At 48.7% G+C, this 26,063-nt stretch overlaps 1 protein-coding gene and 1 long non-coding RNA gene across 14 annotated transcripts in view, besides 2 other annotated features; both read right to left on the bottom strand.

Annotated features, from left to right (window-relative positions):
- Window positions 742-942: a silencer, noted in NCBI's record as "peak4129 fragment used in MPRA reporter construct". NCBI's record gives its function as "represses an SCP1 promoter by STARR-seq MPRAs in K562 erythroleukemia cells {active_cell/tissue: K562}" and the evidence as "EXISTENCE:reporter gene assay evidence [ECO:0000049][PMID:32103011]".
- LINC01433 (long intergenic non-protein coding RNA 1433) lies at window positions 7,068-9,931 on the bottom strand. Its single transcript, NR_033917.1, has 3 exons — window positions 9,775-9,931; window positions 7,643-7,739; window positions 7,068-7,495 (listed from the first exon to the last, which is right to left on the bottom strand). It is a non-coding gene; the product is annotated as a long intergenic non-protein coding RNA 1433 (long non-coding RNA).
- Window positions 7,604-7,785: a silencer, noted in NCBI's record as "fragment chr20:4175883-4176064 (GRCh37/hg19 assembly coordinates)". NCBI's record gives its function as "represses an EF-1alpha promoter that drives an FKBP-Casp9 reporter gene in an ReSE screen in HepG2 liver carcinoma cells {active_cell/tissue: HepG2}" and the evidence as "EXISTENCE:reporter gene assay evidence [ECO:0000049][PMID:32094911]".
- A 5,362-nt stretch (window positions 9,932-15,293) lies between the features above and the next one.
- Window positions 15,294-26,063, bottom strand: part of SMOX (spermine oxidase) — a 38,900-nt gene continuing 28,130 nt past the window's right edge. For 5 of the 13 annotated variants that reach the window (NM_001270691.2, XM_047440218.1, XM_011529261.3 and 2 more), the window contains exons 3-8: window positions 25,444-25,670; window positions 21,045-21,218; window positions 20,173-20,932; window positions 19,367-19,527; window positions 16,189-16,278; window positions 15,294-15,751 (exon numbers count right to left, since the gene is read on the bottom strand). In NM_001270691.2, the coding sequence (NP_001257620.1) occupies window positions 15,614-15,751; window positions 16,189-16,278; window positions 19,367-19,527; window positions 20,173-20,932; window positions 21,045-21,218; window positions 25,444-25,670 (1,550 nt within the window). In that variant the 3' untranslated portion in view covers window positions 15,294-15,613. The remainder of the gene's footprint in view (window positions 15,752-16,188; window positions 16,279-19,366; window positions 19,528-20,172; window positions 20,933-21,044; window positions 21,219-25,443; window positions 25,671-26,063) is intronic. The other 8 variants (NM_175840.3, XM_047440222.1, XM_047440223.1 and 5 more) reach the window with 4 other exon arrangements.

The raw sequence follows: 26,063 nt of genomic DNA, 5'->3' as shown, positions 1-26,063 counted from the left end.
GTGGGAGGAACTTATGTTTCATGAAAGGGGCTTTGGTAGTGCTGGCCATGTCTCATTTCTTTACCTGCCTCATGGCACAAAGCTGTTCACTCTGATAATTCATCACACATTTATATTTTGAGTAATTATCTCCATGAAGCAGGTTCACTGTGCACTTAGTTACCAACTTGTCTGAGTCCAGTGAGACAAAACACCCACATATGCAACAAGTTACATGAAGAGGATCTATTACTTACAGATAGGCACCAAGGGATAACAGAAGCCTAGGGTTCATTGTGAGCTGGTCACCTAAGGCTCAGGAAAGCAGCCTGGGGCAGATGGAGTCTCAACTGTGCATGCCCCACTTGCACTGCAGCTGAGGGCTCCCAAGAAGCAGCCCACCTGGGCTTTATACCCCGGAGATACATGATTCACTGGACTAAAGTGTTGAAGGACATCCTGTTTCTTTTTTTTTTTTTTTTCTTGAGACGGAGTCTCGTTCTGTGGTCAAGACTGGAGTGCAGTGGCACGATCTCGGATCACTGCAACCTCCGCCTCCCAGGTTCAAGCGATTTCCCTGCCTGGCCTCCCAAGTAGCTGGGATTACAGGCGTCCAACATCACACCAGGCTAATTTTTTGTATTTTAGTAGAGACGGGGTTTCACCATGTTGGCCAGGTTGGTCTTGAACTCCTGACCTCAGGTGATCCACCCACCTCAGCCTCCCAAAGTGCTGGGATTACAGGCGTGAGCCACCGAGCCCAGACAGGACATCCTGTTTCTGACAAGGACTGGAACAGAGCGCAGGCAGTTGCAGCCAATCCCTCCTTATCACAGGATGTTACATTCCCAGCACATTCTACAGTTATTTTGAGAACTACAAGCAAGAAAGGGGGAAGAGCTGGGTTGGTCCAAGGCCACCAGGAGAACTGTCCTGCACTCTGTATGCTATGTTTCAGTATACAAAGTTGAAGAAAGGCCAGGTGCAGTGTCTCATGCCTGTAATCCTAACACTTTGGGAGGCCAAGTCAGGAGGACTGCTTGAGCCCAGGAGTTCAAAGTGGAAGCCTGGGCAACACAGTGAGACCTTCACTCTAGAAATAATTTTAAAAATTAGCTAGGTGTGGTGGTGCATGCCTGTGGCCCCAGCTACTCAGGAGGCTGAGGTGGGAGGATGGCTTGAGCCCAGAAGATTGAGGCTGCAGTGAGCCATGATCACACCACTGCACTCCAGACTGGGGGACAGAGCAACAGCCTGTCTGGGAAAAAAAAAAAAAGTTGAAGTAAAAATGAGAAAGAATCATAGACCAAAGAGATTTAGGATATAGCAATGGTTCCTAATCAAATCTGTCTATGATGATTCAGGCTGGGCACACCTATAATCCCATCACTTTGGGAGGCAGAGGGGGGTGGACAACTTGAGGTCAGGAGTTCCAGACCAGCCTGGCCAACATGATGAAACCCTATCCCTACTAAAAATAAAAAAAAAAAAAAAAAAAAAAGCCAGGCATAGTGCAGCGTGCCTGTAATCCCAGCTGCTCCCAGAGGCTAAGGCAGGAGAATCACTTGAACCCGGGAGGCGGAGGTTGCAGTGAGCCAAGATAGGCCACTGCACTCCAGCTTGGGTGACAGAGTGAGACTCCATTTCAAAAAAAAGAAAGAAAAAAACATCTCTCTTTGATGATTCAGAAGGTAATCTTCATGCCTCACAGGCATTGCTAAGCTTTTTTATTGAATCCTGGAAGTGTGAAAATTTGATGGTGGAGAATATATTGTAACATAATAACTGTGCAAGGACATAAAATGGCAAGTTTAAGGAAATAGACGTGCGGACAAATTGTCCAAAAAGTTATTCCTAAAATATGGCATACCCCGTGAAATTGATTAATCTGGGTAAGTTCACTGTCCCAGAACCTCTTGAATAAAAGGAAGGCTGGGTACACTTGCCCCACATGCTTTGTTTTGTAAACATCTTCGTTCTACAAAAGTATCTGTGTGATTGTTCACTAGGTAGGAAAAAAAACCTTTCAGAGATTAAAAAACACTGATCACAGTGGGGGCCATGTAGCTAGTAAGTTAATGGAGCTTTGACCGAAGGCTGTCTTGCAGTAGCCCAAGAAATCTGAACCCCTGCAGGGTTAGTTCCCCAGTTCCTGCCTGAAGAGCAAAGGCAGATATCGTTCGCAACAGTCAAGCTCATCTCTTTGGCCCCCTGACTTGTGAAATGAAAGCCATTATGGTAGGAAAAGGTGGCCCCTGATGGAATTAGAGGCAGGAGTTGCTGCCTACATTGAAGAACACAGGGGAAAGACCAATTCAAACCAGTTCTAGGGGTGGCCCTGGGCATCCATGGCTTTTCTTTTTTTTTTTTTTTTTTTTTTTTTGCTCTTATCGCCCAAGCTGGTAGTGCAATGGCGCGATCTTGGCTCACTGCAACCTCCACCTCCTGGGTTCAAGTGGTTCTCCTGCCTCAGCCTCCTGAGTAGCTGGGATTACAGGCATGCGCCACCACACCCAGCTAATTTTTTTTTCTTTTTTTTGAGATGGAGTTTCGCGCTTGTTGCCCAGGCTGGAGTGCAATGGCGCAGCCTCGGCTCACTGCAACCTCCACCCCACGGGTTCAAGCGATCATCCTCCCTCAGTCTCCTGAGTAGCTGGGATTACAGGCTCCCACTACCACGCCCAGCTAATTTGTTGTATTTTTTTTAGTAGAGACGGGGTTTCACCATGTTGGCCAGGCTGGTCTTGAACTCCAAACCTCAGAAGATCCACCCACTTGGGCCTCCCAAAGTGCTGGGATTACAGGCGTGAGCCACTGTGCCTGGCCTAATTTTTGCATTTTTAGTAGAGACGGGGGTTTCACCATGTTGGCCAGGCTAGTCTCGAACTCCTGACCTCAGGTGGTTTGTCCACCTCAGCCTCCCAAAGTGCTGGGATTACAGGCATGAGCCACTGCGCCTGGTCACCCATGGCTTTTAAAGCTCCCAGGTGATTCAATGTGCAGTCAAGGGCAGGAACCACAACTCTAAGTTAAGCCAGGAACACTGAGTTGTTGGTTTCTTAAATCTCCCCAAATGATCCTTATGCCAAGATGAGGAACCAGTGGTGTAAACAGCACATCTCAGACTTTACTGTGCAATCAACTCACCTGGAGCTCGTGTTGGAAAAAAACTCAGGTTCTGATTGAGGTAGGAGGTGGGACTTGACTCCACAGGTGGGGCTAGGACACCACACCAAATTGAGAACTAGCTGAAACAGGAAGAGACAAAAGCATCCCTCCGTAAGACATGTCCATCAGTGTGCCATGTCAGTTTACCATTGCCATGGCAACACCTGAAAGTTACCACCCCTTTCCATGGCAACCACCCAATGATCCAGAAGTTATCACCTTTTTCCTAAAAATGTCTGCAAAATCCACCCCCTTAATTTGCATGTAGTTAAAAGTAGGTATAAATATGACTGCAGGCTGGGCGCGGTGGCTCACGCTTGTAATCCCAGCACTTTGGGAGGCCGAGGCGGGCGGATCACGAGGTCAGGAGATCGAGACCATCCTGGCTAACATGTTGAAACCCCGTCTCTACTGAAAATACAAAAAATTAGCCGGGCGTGGTGGTGGGCGCCTGTAGTCCCAGCGACTCGGGAGGCTGAGGCAGGAGAATGGCGTGACCCGGTAGGCGGAGCTTGCAGTGAGCCGAGATTGTGCCATTGCACTCCAGCCTGGGCGACAGAGCAAGATTCCGTCTCAAAAAAAAAAAAAAAAATGACTGCAGAACTGCCTCTGAGCTGCTCCTCTGGGCACACTGCCTGTGGGGTAGCCCTGCCCCACAAGGAACTGTGCCTTTGCTACTGCTGTGCACTGCCACTTCAGTAAAAGTCGCTGTCTAACACCACCAGCTCACCCTTGAATTCTTTCCTGGGCAAAGCCAAAAACTCATAATGCAGGGCAGCTAAGCCCCAGTTTGGGAGCTCACCTGCCCTGCTTTATGATCCGGCAGGTCTGAGGATGGAGCCTGGGATTCTGATGCTCTAAAAGGCTCCCAGGTGAGGCCAATGCTGCTGATCCACTGAACACACTTAGAAGAGCAAGGCTCTAGACAGGCAAAAGAAATGGAAGGCCACCGCAGCACTGGAACACTCACAGGCCGTGGGGAAGCCCTAACACCTGCCTGCAAAATAACTTAAAGATGGGCAAACTCTCCCTGGGAGGTGAGCTCTAGAAATGTATGACAAGGGGCATGAGGGAGGGAGGGATGTAAGGAGATTATTAACCCCTGCTGTGTGAAAAGCATGAGGCACAGCTGAGCCTCACTATGAGTGCGGTATTATAGTTAGCACAGATCGACCCAAATGTGCACACAAATCACCTGGAGACCTTGTTAAAATGCAGATTCTGATTCAGGTCAGAAGAGGAGTCTGATATTCTGCATTTCTACTGAGTTCCCGGGAGATGCTGATGCTGCTGTTCAGGGGACCACACTTGGAAAAACAACAGTGTAGACAAAAAGCAAGGAGGACCAGACTGGAGGACGGAAAGTCAACTTAACCCAACTGGGAATGGACAGGGCCTGGCAGCCAGCCCTGGAATAGCCCAGGGCCTCTGCTCACTGAGCCTTGGCAACTGAGACTTGTGCTGGCTGCCTGGTATCTGTGGTGGCCCCAAGAACCTTCCAAAGATGCTTTGATAGAAATGAGGGCTGCAGAACCCCCAGAGGCCAGCTGTGGTGAGATTAACTAGAAGGAGGCTCAGGTGAATTTTCTCAGGGAGAAGAGAACTAAGATGCATAATGACTCAGTGTCAATAGCCTTGGAGGAGAACCAGGGAGAAATCTACACTTCCTGCTAGTGTGGAATGTGGGAGCTTGGAGCCATTATACCTTGAACTCCCAAAGCTAAACCACTCCTACTCTGTGACCCGTCCGTTCTTCTCCTAGGTATAGATCCAATAGAAATGCATATATAGGCCGGGCACGGTGGCTCACGCCTGTAATCCCAGCACTTTGAGAGGCCGAGGCAGGCATATCACTTGAGGTCAGGAGTTCGAGACTAGCCTGGCCATCATGGTGAAACCCAGTCTCTACTAAAAATACAAAAATTAGCTGGGCATGGTGGTGGGCACCCATTATCCCAGCTGCTCGGGAGGCTGTGGCAGGAGAATTGCTTGAACCCGGGAGGCAGAGGTTGCAGTGAGCCAAGATTGCACCACTGCAGTCCAGCCTGGGCGACAGAGCAAGACTCCATCTCAAAAAAGAAAAGAAAAAAAAAAAAAGAAATGCACATATATATACACATATACGTATATTCACCAGAAGACTAATACTAGAATGTTGGTAGCTGCACTGTTTTTTGTTTTGTTTTGTTTTTTGTTTTTTTAGACAGAGTCTCCCTCTGTCGCGCAGACTGGAGTGCAGTGGCGTGATCTCTGCTTACTGCGATCTCCGCCTCCAGGGTTCAAGCAATTACTCTGCCTCAGCCTCCTGAGTAGCTGGGACTACAAGCACATGCCACCACACCCAGCTAATTTCTGTATTTTTAGTAGAGACAGGGTTTCACCATATTGGCCAGGCTGGTCTTGAACTCCTGACCTCGTGATCGGCCCACCTCAGCCTCCCAAAGTGCTGGGATTACAGGCATGAGCCACCGCACTCAGCTAGCTACACTGCTTTTAATAGCCAAAAACTTGAAACAATTCCAGTGTCCATCACCAGGAGAAACGATACACAAATCATGGCATATCACACAATGGAATATGATCAAGCAGTAAGCGTGAACAAATGCTTGCTACATGAAACAACATGGATGGACCTCACAGACACAAGCTAAAGAAACCAAATAAAGAAACCAGGTAAGATAAAGAAACCAAATGGGTCATGTTTACATGAAGTACAAAAATGGGCACAAGTTAAACTAAAGCATTAGAAGTCAACATAATGGTAGCCCTTGGGAGGAGAGGGCCTGTGGCAGGAGGAACAAAGGGATACTTCTGTTTCCTGATCTGGGTGCCAGTTACATAGGTAGGTTCAAAATTTATAAAGCTGTACACTCGTGATCCATGTATTTTTATTTATTTATTATTTATTTTTGACACGGAATGGCACAACCTCGGCTCACCGCAACCTCTGCCTCTCGGATTCAATCCATTCTCCTGCCTCAGCCTCCCAAGTAGCTGGGATTACAGGCATGCGCCACCGTGCCTGGCTAATTATTTTTCTATTTAGTAGAGATGGGGTTTTACCATGGGTCAGTCTGTTCTCAAACTCCTGACCTCAGGTGATCCACTCGCCTCCACCTCCCAAAGTGCTGGGATTACAGGCATGAACCACCACACCCAGCCTCGTGATCAGTGTATTATTGTACACAATTATACTTCCAATAAATATGTTTACTAATTTTTTAAATAAGACCTTATTTTGTTCCCATTAGGAAGCCAGATTTAACAGGACACATAAGATATATCCACACCTGTGACTTATTCCTCACACCCACATTACTTAATCCACACACACAACTATTACAAATACAACCCGTAAGTCCAGCTTTCCTTAGGGAACAAACTAAGCACACATTTCTTATTTATTTACTGAACTTGTGTCTTAAAGCATAGTGAAGCTTTTCTTTTTTTAAGCACGTAGCCTGGCATACAAAAGGAAATCATTAAAAGTCTGATAGATGAACAAAAGAATGAACAATTGAACAAAAGTAAATATCTCATCTCGGGGGCCACCAGCCCTCTTTTTTTTTTTTTTTTTTTTTTTTTTTTTTTTTTTTTTTTTGAGGCAGAGTTTCGCTCTTTTTGCCCAGGCTGGAGTGCAATGGCACAATCTCGGCTCACTGCAACCTCCACCTCCCGGGTTCGAGTGATTCTCCTGCCTCTGCCTCCCGAGTAGCTGGGATTACAGGCATGCGCCACCATGCCCGGCTAATTTTGTATTTTTAGTAGAGACGAGGGTTTCCCCATCTTGGTTAGGCTGGCCTCGAACTCCTCAGGTGATCTGCCCGCCTCAGCCTCCCAAAGGGCTGGGATTACAGGCGTGAGCCACCGCGCCCAGCCAACAAGCCCTCTTTATAATGTTAAGAATGAAAAATAAATGATACTGTAGAATATTATAATCTTATTTTATTCACTTATTCAACAGTAATTAAAGGCACTCCCATGATTTTATGTTGTTTGTTTTAATTCAGAAAAGCTCACGGAGAATCCAGGACACACATTTTCTCGGTGCAGCAAGAGGGCTGTGTCCCCATCTGGGCGGCAGATGGCACCAGAGGATGTGGATCAGCCCTTGAGGTTGTCCTTGCTTCCAGAGATCCTGGAAGCCGGGGTACCCCCTACCCTGCCCAGCCACAGTGAGAAGGGGAGCCAGTCCAGCCCTTCCCATGTCTCCATCTGCAGCCTGAAGAACCTCACCAACAACCGCTAGTGCATGACAGTGAGGATGCCGCCAGAGCAAGTGTAGAAAATGCTGCTGTGCAGCTTGACTGAAGGAGAGGCCCAGGAAGGTGGTTCCCGAGGAAGGTGGCTGATGGGAAAGACATGAGCATAGTGAAATGTGGGTAGAAAGGATGAAGTAGAATGATAGGGGACGGAAAGGACGAGGCGACGTCCCTGCACTTGAGGCATGGGAAGCACAGGTGGAGGGTCAGCCTAGGAGAGGCAGAAGCCTTACCTGCCACTGTCTGCAGGGAAGCTCCAAAGGACAGGCATGAAGGCTGGTGAGCTTGTCGATGGGTGAGGAAGTTGCCTCCAGGTGGCTTCTATTTTGTCTATGAAGCAAGAGACCAAATTGCCTATTGACAAATGATGGTGGAGAGGGGTGTCCTCCGGATTTCCACCATTTATCTTGGCTTCTTCAATCCCTTGCTTATTCATTCTGCAAATATTTATTGATAACCTATTATGCTAGGCACTATTTTGGACTCATTGGACGTGCAGAAGTGAACATAGAACTTACATTCGGGGTTGAGGGAAAATAAATAAACACATAAACATCAAAACCAAAAACATCGGGGAAAGAGAAGGACTATGAAGAAACAGGCAGGATGAGAGAGCAGAGAGTGCGGGAGGCTGTGGAAACAAGGTGCTCAAGGAAGTCTTTTGCTCAGGAAGTCTTCCCAAAGAAGTGACATCTGAGTAGAGATCTGAAGGCAGCAGCAAAGAGCCTTGCAAATATCTGGGGTACGGGGGCATTTCAGTTAAGGAGGACAGCCAGGGTAAAGGGAAGGAGAGGGTGGAGAGGAGGTGCGACCCAGGGAGACAGATCACATAGGATGTTGGAAATCACCTTTGATCGTTAGCATGATGGTTGTTACTAAGAACCAGGGAAGTGGCGTGGCTGGATTTATATTTTGAAAGGATCATGCTGCTGCTGTGTAGAGGACAGGCTAAAAGGGACAGTCGTGGAAAAAGGAACCCCACTTAGGAGGCTGTTGCAGCCATACACAGCAGAGATGTGAGGAGCGGTGAAGGAGGCTCAAAGTCATCAGACTCAGGATGTGTTTTGTAGGGAGAGCCAACAAGATTTGCTGATTGCAAATCTGATGATCAGATGTGGAATATGAAAGAAAAAGGAGTTGATGATGGCCCAGGTGTTTGCCCTGGGCCAAATGGTGGTACCACTTACTCAAATGTGGAAGACCAAGGGTAGATTAGATTTAGGAAGAAGCAGAATTTCTGCTTTAAATATGTTAAGTCCCTGGAAAGATTCTGCAGGCAGTGTTGTTATTTGCTTTGCTTCGGCCAGCAGGTGTGGCTCTGTTTTTTTCCAGCAGCAACTGATGGTGGCCCAGCCGTAGCTGTAGACTGAATGCTGATTGGAATTGTGTCAATTGGCTTTAACAAAACAGGGGGTAAGAGAGTTGAGGGTATTAGAAAGAGACCCAGTGAAATGACAGACCAAATGTAAAACTCCAGTCCTGGAACCAATTTTAATTAGTTTGAACTGATCAGAAGTGACAGAAGCCTAACCCAAACTAATTTGAGCAAAAGAGGAGGAACCAATGGCTCAAGTAACAGAAAGCACACCCAAGTAGCTCATAGAAGAGAAGAAAGAGCTTCAAGGCATAATAAAGTGGCCACATGACCTTGAACTGGGGATGAAAGACAGCTGTGTAACCCCATGTGCCCCATGTATGGGAGTGGGATGGTAGCAGATCTAAGACAAAAGGGAGTAGCTGGGACTACAGTGAAATGGAGAGGGAATACCCAATCCAACGCATTGAAATTGCACAAACACAGAGTTTGCAGAAATAAAATGTGCCTAACACTTTGCATTCTCTGAGAGAGATCCAGGCTTTGAACGTTCTGGCAAAATCGGTGTTAAACAATCACCGCTAGAATCATGGGAAGTGAGAAGACTTTTGTACCTACCAGTCTCAAGCTGAACAGTATGAAACAGGGCAGTGAACGACCCCCTTTTTTAATATTAAATACATAACACAAGATTAGATGTCCTGGCTGCCACCTTAGTAGAGCAACAACTCTGCCTGCGTGTTGATGGCTTGATTGTCCTACACAAATAAGGAGTCTCAACAAACAGCCCAGCCAGTCATTATAAAGAATACAGCCTTCTGTAACTCTACCATTAAGTTTGGCAGACCACTAATTAGACAGGCAATTCTCAAGAACTGAACCAGCAGCCTAACTCACTCTGCACCTTGGAGTTACCCTTGAGCTCACCCCCAACAGGACCTAGTAAGTTAAGGTGACTCAAACTAGAGGTGCTTCACTCCTACATTTGTTTGCAGGAGGGGCAGACACTCCAGGCAGCTCCCAAGAAATAGGATATAACATATTACTCACCTGTCATACAGCAGCAAAGGCAGCAAGAGACAGCGCCTGCCAAATACCCCAGGCCCTTGGAGGACACAGTTCTGAGGTTTGCACAAAGCCACAGCTAAATACCTTCACCTGAAGTCCCTGATGCCCACAGCACGAGAAACCATGCAACCAATTCTCCATAGAACCTGGTGCAGGAAAGAACTTTCCTCTCCTGTGAACTTCTACCAGGCAATGGGAATTTTATAGGAATCATTGGCATGGGTGTTGGCCTGAGCGTGCCACATTTGCCACTTCTGATAGAGCCCTTTGGGTTTCAATCTATGCCAAGTCTATTGTGAAACTTCATCACAGCATGAAACATATCCTGTGTTCCTTGTACGTCATACCTCCTCACTTCTGAATGGCTCTTGCTCTTCCTTGCTCATCTGTAGTGAGTGAGTTTGGTTTTTGGAACTGTCAATCATAAATGGTATCCACATTATGCAATTATTGATGTGGAGGCAGCACACTGCAGGAGGTGCCCCCTCTGGCGCCTGTCCCTGCCTGTGTGTCCAAAGGCTCCCCCTCGGCTTCCTCCCCGGGTTGCTCCCTTCCCCACGAGGTCATGTCCTCTCCAAGCCGAGTAGCCTTGCATGGCCTCCCCGAGGTCCTTCCGAGAACCTCCATTTCCTCTGCTGTGGAACAATCCCAACCCCTCTTTCGTGGTTGCAGATGCAGAGAGGATAAGGGGATACAGGCAATGGAGCTGGTAAACAGTGACATCCTATATTAATTTGAGGTCACTGCTTATCACCAGGCAGCCAGTGGGGCCTAAGAGGGCCCCTCCTCCCTTTATCTGCTCTCAGATGTGTCATCTCTGCTGCAAGGAGGAAATTAGCTGGGCCAATATGACCATGTTTTGGAATGGGAGAATGGAGGGAGGCATTCTCAGACTCTTGAAACTTTCTTCCATGTATAACTTGATGCATTTTTACCAACGTGTATGCCCATGCAACCGCCACCCAGATCAAGATGTGGAACACTTCCGTTACCCCAGGAAGTGCCCCCATCCCACTCCTGCCCAGCCGCCACCCCCAGCCCCTCATTTCCAACACAGTAGATTAGTTTTGCAAGTTCTTGAACGTTACATAAAAGAAATCATATAGTACATAGCCTTTTGTCCGGCTTCTTTAACTCAACATAATGTTTTGAGGGTTTTTGTTGTGTTGTTGTTGTTGCTGTTGCTGTTTTGAGATGGAATCTTGCTCTGTTGCTCAGGCTGGAGTGCAGTGGCATGATCACAGCTCACTGCGGACTCAACCTTCTGGGTTCAAGCATTTCTCCCACCTCAGCCTCCCCAGTAGCTGAGACTATAGGCACGCACCACCATGCCCAGCTAATTTCTGTATTTTTTGTGGAGACGGGGTTTCGCCTTGTTGCCCAGGCTGGTCTTGAACTCCTGAGCTCAAGCAATCCACCTGCCTTGGCCTCTCAAAGTGCTGGGGGTACATGAGCCATCATACCCTGCCAACATAACATTTTTGAGGTTAATCCATGTTGTTGCAAATATCCATTCCTTTTATTTATTGCTATATAGTATTCCATTGTGTGAGTGCACTGGAATTCATTCTACTGTTGATGGACATCTGGGCAGCTTCCAGTTTTTTAGCTGTTAGGGTCCATGTTACTGTGGACACATTGGTATATATGTTTGGTGAGCACCTGCACGCCTTTCTCTTGGGTGTATACCCAGGGGTGGGAACGCTGGCAAGCACATGGCCAGTTTTAGCTGACTCCGCCACAGTCCCCCAGTGTGGTCGTACCACACCCACTCTCTCCAGCAATGGCCTTAAGCTTTTTTGGTGGCACCAGCCTCTTCTTTTCATCATACAATAGAACGAGCCTACACCACGCAGTCAGACAGACTTCAGCTCATGTCTCGGCACCTCTGAGCAACCCTGGGCAAGTTACTTAACTTCTCTGAGGTTTCACTTGCCCACAGGAATAAATAAAGCCTGAGTTGGCATCACTGTCAAATCAGTATCACATTCACATGGCATAGTGCCAGGCAATTGGCACTAAGTGAATATTCTCTCCCTCCCTCTTACCCACCCATGAAGCTCCCTGAAGTGCAGTCACCAAGTAAACATTTCCAGACCTTTCACCCCACCATGGAGTCCTTTAAAATTCCTCTGCCTATACACTGAGAACCTATTTATCACTTTCTTCCCCGATACTTATGTGATGGGGCTGCTTGTCTCCATCCCACTGCAGTGGATGGGGAAATCCAACAACTGAGGAGTCAGAAGCAGACAGCAGACTATGAGTCATGGAAGGTAACAGGTAATAGAAGGTGGCTTCCATAAAGTGACCCTGGGCCAGGGAGGAGACAGACATGCTTTGACCAAAGTAAGGTCCAAATTTACATTGTCTGCTTATGTACCATTACAGAAAGATGTCCAAGACATATTGTGGGTTTTTTTGATTTTTTATTTGTTTTTCTGTTTGTTTTTGAGACAGAGTTTCACTCTTGTTGCCCAGGCTGGAGTTCAATGGCGCGATCTCGGCTCGCTGCAACCTCCACCTCCTGGGTTCAAGCAATTCTCCTGCCTCAGCCTCCCGAGTAGCTGGGATTACAGGTATGCATCACCACACCCGGCTTATTTTTTGTACTTTTAGTAGAGACAGGGTTTCACCATGTTGGCCAGGCTTGTCTTGAACTCCTGACCTCAGGTGATCCACCCGCCTTGGCCTCTCAAGGTGCTGGGACTACAGGTGTGAGCCACCGCGCCCAGCCTACAGGACATATTGTTAACTAAAACAAGCAAAATCAGGACAAGATGAATACTTTGGTGCTTTTGTATAAAAAGGAGGGAGAAGAGTGTTTTTATATTGACTTACATCTAGGAATGGATACCCCTAGGGCTGTGGGAGAGGCAACAGTGACTGGGGACACTGTGAGAGGGAACATTTCAGTGTATTGTATCCACGTGGACAGCTTTTGGGCTTAAACTACATGAACAGATCATCTATTCAGACAATTTTTCATATATAGGCTGGGCATAGTGGCTACGCCTGTAATCCCAACACCTTGGGAGTCCGAGGCGGGTGGATCACCTGAGGTCAGGAGTTTGAGACCAGTCTGGCCAATATAGCAAAACCCCAACTCTATTTAAAATAGAAAAATTAGCTGGGCATGGTGGTTCGTGCCTTAATCCCAGCTACTCGGGAAGCTGAGGCAGGAGAATCGCTTGAGCCTGGGAGGTGGAGGTTGCAGTGAGCCGGGATCATGCCACTGCACTCCAGCCTAAGCAACTGAGTGAAACTCCGTCTCAAAAAAAAAAAAAATTCATATATATATTTAGACATTTTTCAGTTATGCCAGCAGGTGGGTATGAATCCCTTGATATAAGCTCCATGAAGATTTCTGGCAGATCAACCCTGGCAAAGCAAAATGTCTGTGAGGTTTGTGCATGTAGGTGTGTGTGCGTAAGTGGATGCAGGTAAGCATGTGTGTACGTGTGTCTGTGTGTTAGACATCTCCATCACAACCTACCAGCCTGGGCAATATAATGAGACACTCTCTCTACAAAAAAATAAAAATAAAAATTAGCCAGGCATGGTGGCACATGCCTGTAGTCCCAGCCACTCCTGAGTAAGGAGGATCATTTAAGCCCAGGAGTCTGAGGCTGCAGTGAGCCATGATCGCACCGCTGTCTCCAGCCTGGGCAACAGAGTGAGATGCTATTTCAATCAATCAATCAATCACCTGGGAGGAGGAAGGGGCTGTCATGTCCTGTCAAGGGCAGGGCCCTAAATGTCCATGAAGGGGACCTGACCTAAGCTCTTCATAACTTCTCCCCATCACCCCACCCTTCAACTCTGTAGAATTCAAATTTCATCACTAGAAATCTAGGATAACAAAATGACTAACTGTTCTTTAAGATGACTGGGGACAGTGTGAATGGGGACATTTTAGTGTATTCTTATATAGCTTTTGGGCTTAAACCACATGGACAGAGCCATGTGGATCTGAATTCAAATTTCATCACTAGAAATGTGGAGTAACAAAATGACTGTTCTTTAAGGTTCTGTGTGTGTGTGTATGTAGGTAGGTATATGTGTAGGGTAGAGAGGTGAGTGTATGTAGGTGTGTGTACCTGTATATGTCATGTGGGTTATGTGTAAGGTGTAGTGGTGAGTATATGTAGGTATGTGTACCTATATATGTGGGTGAGTATATATAAGGGGGTAGATGTGTCTTTTTACTCAGCAAAAAGAGAAGAAAAAGAAGTTTTTCTTTTTTAAAAGACATCTGTAGAGATGGGGTCTCACTGTGTTGCCCAGGCTGGTTTCAAGTTCCCAGGCTCAAGCAATCCTCCTGCCTCAGCCTCCCAAATTGGTGGGATTACAGGCATAAGCCACCATGTCCAGCCTAGGACCCTTTTCTAGATGCCTAGTATGTAAAGGAAAGTATTGATTGCTTTATATTTGGTGTGTGAATTATTCCTTAATACTGAGAAGCTTGACAGCTTACATGTAAAGGATTACAAATAACACCTTCTTTTATTTTTCTGAGACAGGGTCTCACTCTGTCACCCAAGCTGGAGTGCAGTGGTGCAATCATGGCTCACTGCAGCCTCAGACTCCTGGGCTCAAGTGATCCTGCCACCTTAGCCTCCCAAAGTGTTGGGAGCACTGAACCCAGCTGACGAGAAGAAAAATCTATTCCCCAATAAATGGCAGGCCTTAGGATATTCCCCCTGTCAAAAAATAAAGCCCAGAATGACCATCTGCCCAGAGGTTCAAAAGAAGGCCACCCCAGGGGCCAGACCCACAGCCCAGTGGACAGGTGACGCTAATTAACAATGAACAAGCCAGGTGCGGTGGCTCACCCCTGTAATCCCAGCACTTTGGGAGGCCAAGGCGGGTAGATCACCTGAGGTCAGGAGTTCAAGACCAGCCTGGCCAAGATGGTGAAACTACAAAAATACTAAAAATACAAAAATTATCCAGGCGTGGTGGCGGGCGCCTGTAATCCCAGCTACTCAGGAGGCTGAGGCAGAGAACTGCTTGAACCCAGGAGGCAGAGGTTGCAGTGAGCCGAGATTGCGCCATTGCACTCCAGCCTGGGCGACAGAGCGAGACTCCGTCTCAAAAAAAAAAAAAAAAAAAAAAAAAAACAATGAACATACCTAGGCTTGGCATGGAGCCACCACCACTGGGGGTCCCCCCCACAGAACTCCTTCACTCCAGGCAGTGTGTCACTCAGTTAAACTCAGAGAAGTCCAGCAAAAAAAAGGGCCAGCAAGCAGACTCAGGCCAGACCTGAAGGAGCAGGTGTACACTGAGAGGCCCGTATTCCTGAGGGGCCTTACTGGCAGGAAGGTAAACACCCCAACAGATGGGGGGAGGGGACATCCCTTCCAGTAAAAGCAGCACCTTCCCTCTGGGGACACAGCCAGGCCAGGGCTCCCCAACCTTCTCCCTCTCACTCAAAGGCGGTGTGACAGAAATAAACACACACACATACACAGAGGCTGAGAAAACCAGAGAGAAGCTGAGGGGCAGGGGAGGGAGCCTTTTTTATTATCCCAAAATGCAAAGTATTGAAGGCACTTACAATAACAAGGCAGGACAGAGGGTAGGCAAGTGGGGGCACGGGATCCAGCACAGAGGTAACTCAACGGCCCACCTGCTCACGGCCCAGCCTGGAGAAAAAGAAAAGCTACAGGGCCAGGTCTGAAGGCAGTCAGGGCGGCTAGCTCTACAGAAGATAAAAATCCTTTCTACAGAGGATCAGGAAGGCAGGAGCACACGGCAGCAAGGGGCAGGCTGGAGGTCACGAGTTAGTGGCTCTTCTCAGCAGCGAGGACAGCCCTCAGGTCCCCTGCTGGAAGAGGTCTCGGTACATCTCAATGAGGCGGGCAGCCTCACGCTGGCCGGACAGCAGAGCACCGTGGGTGGTGGAATAGTACTTGCGGTGGGTGGCCTCACCGGAAAACAGCACCTGCATGGGCTGCGGGGCGGGGATGGGGAGGTCAGGGTGGAGGAGCAGCAAAGGCCAGAAGGCCACAAGGCCACCCCTCTCCACCAGAACCTCCCATCCCAATGACAAATTAGAGAGGCTCTGAGACGCAGGTGCTGCTGCTTCCACAGGATGAAGAGCTGCCCATCCTATCTGGCCACTTTCCCCTGCTTCTTCCCTTGGCTCTTTCTGTCTTGAGGCCATTAGGAGTCCCGGCTCTGTGGTCTCAAAGGCTCTTTGTGCCTCTTACTTGTCAACTTGAGGCAGGTGGTTTAACCTCCCTAAGCCTTGCTTTTCTCATCTTCCAAATGGGTTTATACCACCTACTTCGGAGGGTGGTTGTAAGGATTAAGGGAAATCATGTATCTAAAGCACTTAGAACCTGGAAGAACAAAGCACTCAATAAAGTCGGTGGTAATTTGACAAACCTTTACGGCGCCCCTGTTAGCATCCAGGGGCTGTTCTGGGCACTTGGAAGAGAAAAGGTGACCAGGCTGCTGCTTTGTGGAGCTTCCATGCTGGTGAGGAAGCCAGACATGAAACCCAATTACTAAACAGCGTCATATGTGATGGAATGGGTGTTTGCACAAGGCGCCGAAAGCCCAGAAAAGAGGCCCAGTGTCAGGGGATCCCACAAAGCTTCCCAGAGGACAGGACCTTTGAACTGGTTCTCGGAAGATGCTGAGTGAACGGACAGGCAAAGGACATTTCAGACAGAGGGAAAGGTGGGGGCAAAAATGTACCAAAGCAGGCCTTGCTCGGGGGACAGTGAGAATTTTGGTACAGCCAGGGCTCGGCCTTGAGAAAGCAGGCTGTCTAGGTGAGGTCTAGGCAAGGTACAAGTTCTTGCACCCCAAGTTTGCATTTGGACTTTATCCTAGTTCCTCTCAAATTCAAGGTGCAAGGCACCAGCTGTGGATCCTGATAAAATGCAGTTTTTATTTATTATTTTTGAGACAGTGTCTCACTCTATTGCCCCAGTTGGAGTGCAGTAACATGATCACAGCTCCACTGCAGCCTCAACTTCCTGGGCTCAAGCAATCCTCCCATCTAAGCCTCCTAAGTAGTTGGGACTACAGGCACACACCACCACACCTGGCTAATTTTTTTTTAAATTTTTTGTTGAGATGGAGGTCTTACTTTGTTGCCCAGGCTGGTCTTGAACTCCTGAGCTCAAGCCATCCTCCCACTTCGGCCTCCCATAGTGCTGGGATTATGGGCAGGAGCCTGCATCCCTGGCCAGAATGCAGTTTTTAATCCAGCAGGTCTGGGGTGGGCTGAGAGTCTGCATTTCTTTTTATTTATTTATTTATTTGTGTGTGTGTGTGTTTAGGGCGCCAGGGGTTGTTGTTTTTTGGTTTTTGTTTTGAGACAGGGTCTCGCTCTGTCACCCAGGCTGGAGTGCAATGGCATGATCTCAACTCACTGCAACCTCCGCCTCCCAGCTTCAAGCAATTCTCATGCCTCAGCCTCCCAAGTAGCTAGAACTACAGGTGTGCACCACCATGCCTGGCTAATTTTGTATTTTTAGTAGAGACAGGGTTTCGCCATGTTGGCCAGGCTGAGAATCTGCATTTCTTTTTATTTATTTATTTATTTGTGTGTGTGTGTGTTTAGGGCGCCAGGGGTTGTTGTTTTTTGGTTTTTGTTTTGAGACAGGGTCTCGCTCTGTCACCCAGGCTGGAGTGCAATGGCATGATCTCAACTCACTGCAACCTCCGCCTCCCAGCTTCAAGCAATTCTCATGCCTCAGCCTCCCAAGTAGCTAGAACTACAGGTGTGCACCACCATGCCTGGCTAATTTTGTATTTTTAGTAGAGACAGGGTTTCGCCATGTTGGCCAGGCTGAGAATCTGCATTTCTAACTAGCTCCCAGGTGAGGCTGGTACTGATCTACCTACCCTGAGTAGTGAGGCTGTAATCCCACCACCAAGGAGCCCACAGAGGCTGTTACACTGAAAGGGGTGTTGTATACTGTGTCAGCCTTGACCTCCTGGGCTCAAGTGATCCTCCCACCTCAGCCTCCCAAGTAGCTGGGACCACTCCCACATCCAACCATTCTCCTCTTTCTCCTCAATAACAAAGTCCTGATTTTTAACTGGGTCCATTGCCATCCAGAATAAAAATGATACTGCCCAGCCTCTGTAGCAGCTAGGTGCAGTCATGTGTCTATGTTCTGGCCAATAAGCATTAAAGTGCACTGTTGCTTAGAGACACAGCTGACTCAGCTCCAAGGGTTCCCTTCTTGCCATCTGCCTTTCCTCTTCCTTCTAGCCTAAGATGCAGATGTGAGAACTGGAGCTTCTGCAGCCCTCTTGGACCACAAGATGGTCTTGAAGATGAGAGCCAGGTGCTAATGATACGGGATCCTGCTGCCTGCCTCCAGATTTCCTTTTGATTTTCCTTGTTTAAGTCACAGTTGTGTTTGCTTTGCTTTGCTTTTTGCTACATGCACTAGTCCTAACTGATGCAAGTGAAAAGAGAAGATTTGCTTTTTAGGAGGATGGCTGTGGCAGCAGAAAGGGCCTTTCTGAGGACCTCTCTCTCTTTAAACACCAGCCCTTTTCTCTCTCCATCTGAGCACCGTTGGGCAGGCATAGTAGATGCTGGTTGACTGAACTCTTCTTCACCAATTATACCAAATAATTGTTTTAAATATAACTGTTGAGTTTTAACATTTACTGTGTGTGTCTACTTGATGGGGGAAACTCAAAATCCACTTTATGGGAGCATAAATATATATTTCAGATTTTTTTTTTTTAGTGTACAGTTGGCATATTGTGGAGCATCAGTAATCTAAACTTTATTTTCTGAAATATATTGGGAAAACATTTCCATTGAATCAGTGCTGTCCAATAGGACATTCCTATCGCTATGTACTTTACTATGGTAACCTCTAGCCACATGTGGCTGTTGAACTTGAAATGTGACTAGTGCAACCAAGGAACAAAAACTTTACTGTATTGGCCAAGTGTGGTGGCTCATTCCTATAATCCTAGCACTTCAGGAGGTTGAGGCGGGAGGACAGCTTGAGCCCAAGAGTTCAAGACCAGCCTAGCAGTATGATGAAACCCCATCTCTACCAAAAAAAAAAAAAAAGTACAAAAATTAGCTGGACATGGTGGCGTGCCGGCATGCCTGTGGTCCCAGCTAGTTGGGAGGCTGAGGTGGGAGGATCACTTGAGCCCAGGAGGTCAAGGCTGCAGTGAGCTGTGATCACACCACTATACCCCAGCCTGAAGTGTAGACAGAGCAAGACCCTGTCTCAAAAAAGAAAAAAAAAATACTGTATTAATTTAAATTTTTAATAAATTAATTTAAATTGAAAGTGGCTGATAGCTACCGTATTGGCCAGCACAGCATGGAATAGCTCAGTTTTCATAACATCAAGAAAACATTTTAAGTTTCAATTTGATTCCATTTTTTCTTCCAGATATTAAGTGCACACTTTTTTCCTTGTGTTCTCTCTCATTACAGAAGCTACTCCATCCCTGCCTCACCTGAGCACCCCTTAGTGAACACTACCCTAGCCCTCCTCACCCTGGACCGGACACACATACAAAATACACCCACAACTCCCCTCCTCACCCCAAACGCCCCGCTTACCGCTGTCTTTGAGCTCTCTGTGTACGGCAGGGGCTTGGCCAGCTTCTCCACATCCGCCCCGCTGGAGCCCACCTGCGTGTATGAATAGGAGCCGCGGAAGTAAGGGTTGCTGCCCCAGGCCGAGCGCAAGATTCGCCGAGGTTTTGGAATGTTGGGGTTCCCTGATGGAGAGTCAGAAAAGCCAAGAGGAGGGAGGATAAGAAATGGCTGCATATGGAAGATGACCCCAAAGGGACAACCCCCCACCCCACCTCCAGGGCTCCGGGAGGACCAGACTGCCAGGGGTAGGCACGGAGGATAGAAGAGGAAGGAGGGAGGCTGGGGCTCGAGCTGTGTACCCACTCAGCGCCTCCTGTGACCCCCGGCAAAACGCTCCACCTTACTTTTCCTATCTATCTGAAAACACATGACACATAATCATGTTTCCCCGCCTAATATCGGGGGTTCTCGTGAGGTCCTCCTGGAATAGTGGGTGAAAAATGTTGAGCTGAAAGACTCAGAGAGTAAAAGGCAAATCCAGCTCTTAGCAACAGAGCACAATGGGCGGTGATCTCTGAGTGTTTTACCATCAGCCTTTAGAAAGGGGGAAGAGACACAGCGCCCATAATTCTGAGTGTGTCAAGTTCTAAACTGTCAGCAACTGAAGAGCCTTTGGCTGAATGTGGCACCCTGCAGTGGCTCTCCCGTGGGGCACAGCATCCGAGCTTCACGGTCTGGGGAGGAGAGAGCTGCCATGGGTCCACCAGAGGAGGGCAGGTGAGGAAGAAGCAGGGTGGGGGAAGCGGGTCGTGGGGCACGTGGCGCACCTGTGAACTGACGCAGCATCTCCGTGCAGATCTCGGCCACTGCCTCGTCATCACACTTCTCCATGACGAGGGCCTCCTCCCCGCAGATCCAGCCGCTCAGCACATGGCCGTAGCGCTCAGGCGGGTAGAGGACATCAAAGCCGCAGATCTTGCGGTACCAGAGCTCAGGTGGGTAGGTGAGGGTGTGGCTCTCTGCTTCGTCCTCCCACACAAACTGTAGGCTGTTGCACTCAGGGCCCCAGAAGGGCTCCTCGAATTCCAGAAAGATCTTGTCGGTGGTGCCAATGCCCAGGCGGTGGATGGCAGCCACCTTCTCTGTGGGCAGGCCTGGCCGGAAGAAACTGGTGTACTGCCTCTTTAGCACACCTAGCGACACGGTCACAATCACATGGTCCGCCGGGATCAGCTCACAGTCCTCGCACTCCACCACCACCGACCACTGCTCATCCTCATCCCACCTGCCCCCCCGGGGCTCCTCTCCACCCTGGCCACCCTCCCCAGTGTCGTGATTGTGGTCGCCCTCACCCCGGGGCTCAATCTCAGGGCCTCTGGGGCGGGCTGAGGCCTGGTCCCAGTGAATGCAGCGGACAGGTTTCCCTAGCTGGATGACGTGGGCAGGGATGCCCTCCGCCAGCAGCTCCACAACCCGCATGAAGCCCGAGGGGATGATGTGGTGAGCGCCGGGGATCTCGGTCCACTCCCCGAAGGCGCTCAGGGACACCTCGTCCATGCTGTGTGAGCTGCTCTCACAGCTCTCCACCTGCGGGAAGACCCAAGGAGAAGCCAGGTGACCGCCGGGGTTGGGCAGGGGTAGGAGCAGCGTAGCCCTCCTCAGACCCAGACGCCCCCAGAATCCGTCTTCCTCAAGATACCTTCAGGTACTGCTGGATCATGGCGAGCTTCAGGCGCTTGGTAGCCTCTGGGTCGTCAGGGTCATTCCTGATGCGGTTACGCACCTCCTCTCGGGTGAACACCCCCACGCTATTTTGACTTTCAGCATTGACTGGTTTATCGTGCCGGAAGAACTCCTGGGTCAAGTTATAGACCTGCCAGAGAGACCCCATGAGACTGAAAACACCTCATCACACCTCCATCTCAAACAGAAGGCCCCCAACCCAAACCCACCAGTTCCCAGGTGTCCCCTGGATGCACTGAGCCCCTGGTCTCTGTCCCTTAGGGATCCGATGTTGCACTCAATGCTGCACCAAAAGCCAAGGCCCCGGGCAGCCACCTCCTCGCCTCCGGCCTGTCGGGGAGGTGGGATAAGCCCCGGAGGTTTTCTTGCTGGGCCCTCACTTAGGACAATGTGAAACATTTGGTGCCCATACAGTCTGTGGGAAAGAAGCCACCCCTCATGGACTCTGCATGGGCCTCCATGGGCTCCACCTCCCACTGGAGGATGGGCATTTGCACACATTTACCTGTTCCAAGAACGATACGTGCACTTTCCCTGCCACCCCTGCCCAAGTGTGTCTGCTTTGCCCGCTCCCAAGAGGGCAGTCTGGAGCTGTGGCCTGGCCAGCAGAAGGGCCCCTGACGACTGGAGACACCTCCCTGGGCCTGTGCAGCTCCGTACAAAGCACCCCCTTTGCTTCAGGCCTCAGCCACGAGTAAGGAAGCTGAGACGCAGTGGGGAAGACAGGAACACAAAAGCCAGGGTCTCAGGAGGCCCCAGTGTGCCAAGGAAGGGAGATGCATTTCACGGGCACGTTTCAGCAAGAACTCCAGCCCACACCTCATCAACAGATAACGACGATCAGTCACTTGAAAAGGGGTCTGACTGCCCGCCCGACCCTCGTGCCTGTCTCATATACAGTCCCCACTAAGCACTGGGCAGAGCTCCCTGAAGGAAGTAAGCCAGTCCAGGGATCCCCAGAAGCAACATTTACTCAACATTTACCGGGCTCTGTGCAGGACACAGCTTGTAATGTGGGCGAAACAGTCCCTGCCCCTCCCCTCACTCCAGCTGGGGAGACAGTCCACGATTGGGCTGCCGTGATAGGAAAGAACCCGGGGCTGTGAGGTCAACGCAGACAACCCTGGGCAGCTGAGAGACAGCCAGGGTGGAGAGGAAAGGGAGAAGAAAAGCATTTCAGGCAGAGGGAACAGCAACCTCAAAGATGGAGAAGCAGTCAGGAATCCTGAAGGGGTTTGGTTTTGCTGGAGGGGGCAGCAAGGAGAGAGGATCTGAGAGCCGACTTTGGAAGGGCAGGCAGGGTCCAGGGCATAAAGGACTGAGAGTTATTCCAAGGACTCTGGACTTGATCCAAGGCCCTGGCATCGCTGGAGGGCCGTGAGCAAGAAGGCGGCAGGATCACATGCCCACAGCTGTCATTCCCAGGACACCAGCTAATGGAGGCTCCTTGGTCGAGCCCCTGTGGCTGAGCTGATGAATGGTTTGTTTCCCTTCCTAAAGTGAGTGTGGTCAGCACACATGTCTGGGAATGGTGTCTGCCCTGTCCCCCAGCCCTGGGCTAGGCCCTGGGGCCACAGGGTGAAGGAAGATGGCAAAGCACAGTGATGTCCACCACCCGCCACCACCACCATCTCACTCAAGGGGAAGGCCTCCACCTGAGACACAGACATGAATTAAACTTATCTCTGGAGACTAAATTATAAAGAAGAAAGTGAGGGAAATTGTTTCATCTTGCCTCCCTGCAATCAGGAGATGCTGAGTGGTGAGCCTTAGCTGGAGTCCTCAGCAAATTCTTCACCCAGGACCACTGCCAAGGGTCAGGCTTTCAATTTGCCTCCTCCCTGGGTTTTTCCCTTGGGCGATAAGCAACCTGGTAGCCAGTCCTTAGCTTATGTTAACTAGAGGCCAAAATGCCCAGCTGAGGAGTAATGAATTTAGTCCATCGACATGACTCTTTGCATCAGCCACCAACGAGGGCAGCCTTCACCGAACATGGGTGTATCACATGGCACAGTCTCCTCTCCTGGGTTATTCGACACCTTCCCAATGTGACCCAAGGAAAATCGGACAGGTCTGTGACAGCTAATAATACTCACCCCAATTCTCATTAAGCACTTATCATTGGTTCTCATTCAATCCTCATAATACTATGAGGTAAGTACCACCATGCCCATTTTACAGAAGAGGAAAGTAAGGCTCAGAGAGGCTCAATAACCTGCTCAAGATTCCACAGCTAATAAATGGTAGAACTGGTATTTGGTCAAGGCAGTCTTACTCCAGAAACTAAGCTCTAGATGATACTATTGCACAAACTCATGTATTTGTTAATAAATAAAATACATTCAGATGAGTGGCTCTTCAACGTCATCATCTTTGGGGGCTGCATACTTATTATGAAGCCACACTGAGGCAAGGTTTCACGTGCTTAGAGCACCCCTCCTCAGAATGGCCTCTAGGATTGGTTAAAAGCCACACAAAGAAATCTTGACATCAGGGTTACGCCTTATCCTTTTGACTCAAAACATCACCACCCAGATAATCCACCATATCCACTCCATATCCACAACGCACTCTCTTGACTTTCAAAAATCAAACCCACCAGCAGAATTTGATGATGATCTACTTTTAACGACATTTAAAAGAACAAACCACGGGCCCCGAAAGTCATTTTCAAGAGGCATCCATGTTTGAATCACTCACAATAACCTGGGAATCAGGCTGGGGCTGATTTCCAGCAGAAAAGAAAGGTCTGTTTTGAAGAATACTAGTTCTTATTTGACCCATTAACAATTCAGTCTCTTTGCACATGAGTGAGAATGCACAACACAACGTACCTTGTTGGTGCACACACATGACACCAAGTGTGCCTGTCCTCCATAGAGCAGGGACCACCCCAAAGCAAGGGTCATGTCTCCTTTCTCATGCCCAAGAGATTAGAAAATGCACAATAGGCTGGGCGAGGTGGCTCACGCTTGTAATCCCAGCACTTTGGGAGACCAAGGTGGGCGGATCACCTGAGGTCAGGAGTTCGAGACCAGCCTGACCAACGTGGTAAAACCCCATTTCTACTAAAAATACAAAATTAGCTGGGCATGGTGGTACATGCCTGTAATCCCAGCTACTCAGGAGACTGAGGCAGGAGAATCGCTTGAACCTGGGAGGCGGAGGTTGCGGTGAGCTGAGATCGTGCCATCGTACTCTAGCCTGGACAACAAGAGCGAAACTCCGTCTCAAAAAAAAAAAAGAAAGAAAGAAAGAAAGAAAAGAAAATGCACAATAGGTGTTTGCTGGCCAAATTACTGACCTGGAGTGAAGGATCATTCATTACACTACAAATGACAAGCTATCAGATGACAGGGCCTACACATTACTTTGCTTGTTCGGTGCAGTTCACACAGCTAAAGAATACTAACAATATTAATAATTTTTTAAAAATCTGAATAAAACAAGGATGTGTGCCATTGCCACTTCTGTCCAACACTGCACTGAGATACTAACCAGTGCAATAAGGCAAGAAAAAAATAAAACTGTCTACAGCTGTGCTATCCAACACAGTAGCTACTAGACACCTGTAGCAATTTAAAATTAAGAAATTAGGCCGGGTGCAGTGGCTCACGCCTATAATCCCAGCACTTTGGGAGGCCAAGGTAGGCCGATCATGAAGTCAGGAGTTCGAGACCAACCTGAACAACATGGTGAAACCCCATCTCTACTAAAAATACAAAAATTAGCTGGGCATGCCACGTGCCTGTAATCCCAGCTACTCAGGAGGCTGAGGCAGGAGAATCGCTTGAACCAGAGAGGTAGAGGTTACAGTGAGCTGAGATCGCGCCACTGCACTCCAGCCTGGACGACAGAGCGAGACTCCATCTCAAAAACAAACAACAACAACAAAAAATTAAATATTCAGTTCCTCGGTTTTACTTGCATCATTTCAAGTGCTCAAGAGCCAAATGTGGCTAGTGACTACCACACTGCAGAGCGAAGGTCTAAAACATCACCATCACTGTGGAAAGTTCTATTGGATAAATGCTGGTCTAATGACTAGAAAGGAAAAAAAGACAAAATTCTCATTTTTTGTGTAGAGTTATATACATAAATTCCAAAATATTATTAGAATATAAATTAATACAATTAACATAATAGATGTATTATTAGAATTAAAAATAATTTAGCAAGCTAACAAATCAATATATAAAAATCAGTTCTATCCCACTGAATATTTTCATTTTACCCTCACATTATCCTGGTTTTCCAAATGCAAGGCCCAGGGAGTGTGCAGAGACACGACCAGAATCACAGACCTCCCAGGTCTCCCCATGCCCTTACGCCCAGCTACTCTGCTCACACCTTACCTCGTTGTATAAATCGCTGAATTCCTCAACCACGTCCTTGGGGATCCTGCGGCCGTGGTTGGTAAGGTAGCAGGCCACGCCATTCTTGGAATAGAGGCTGATGCGGCCCACGCTGCGTTCCCCATCGGTTGTCTCTTCCAGGAGGCCGTTGGCTTCTGCTAGATGATAGATAGGGTTCCCATGGGAGCCATGGATCCAGGTGGCTCCCAGCTCAAAGGTGGCGTGTCCTGAGGGTGACAACAGCAGGCCCTTAGAGGCTTAGGGACTTCTCCAGAGAGGGCCAGCACTGCTTCCCCCTCCTTCCTCCAAGAGGGTCTTTCCACCCTACAACAGGGCAGGAAAGAGCTTGAACTTCCACTGCTGGCAACCAACGAAGGTCCTCAGTGAAAAGTTCCCACTGAAAACCACCTTATAGCTAAGATAACTGCCACCTTGGATGACTCTGTGATTTGTCCCAGAGTGGCCTTACTGGACCAGTTAGAAGGCTCTTCTTTTTCCGTCCCACCTTTTTCTCAGGTAACACCAGATATCAGACCCCACTTCCTCACTGGTGCCTCCTCACCGGGGAGAAGCACTGTGGGTACCTGAGGGTCCCCACCTGGCCTTTTTCAATTCTTCAA

The sequence above is a fragment of the Homo sapiens genome, chromosome 20 (assembly GCF_000001405.40).
Source record: "Homo sapiens chromosome 20, GRCh38.p14 Primary Assembly".
Lineage (NCBI taxonomy): Eukaryota > Metazoa > Chordata > Mammalia > Primates > Hominidae > Homo > Homo sapiens.
The sequence above is the reverse complement of the archived record's forward strand: the minus strand, read 5'-3'. Positions and strand labels throughout refer to the sequence as shown.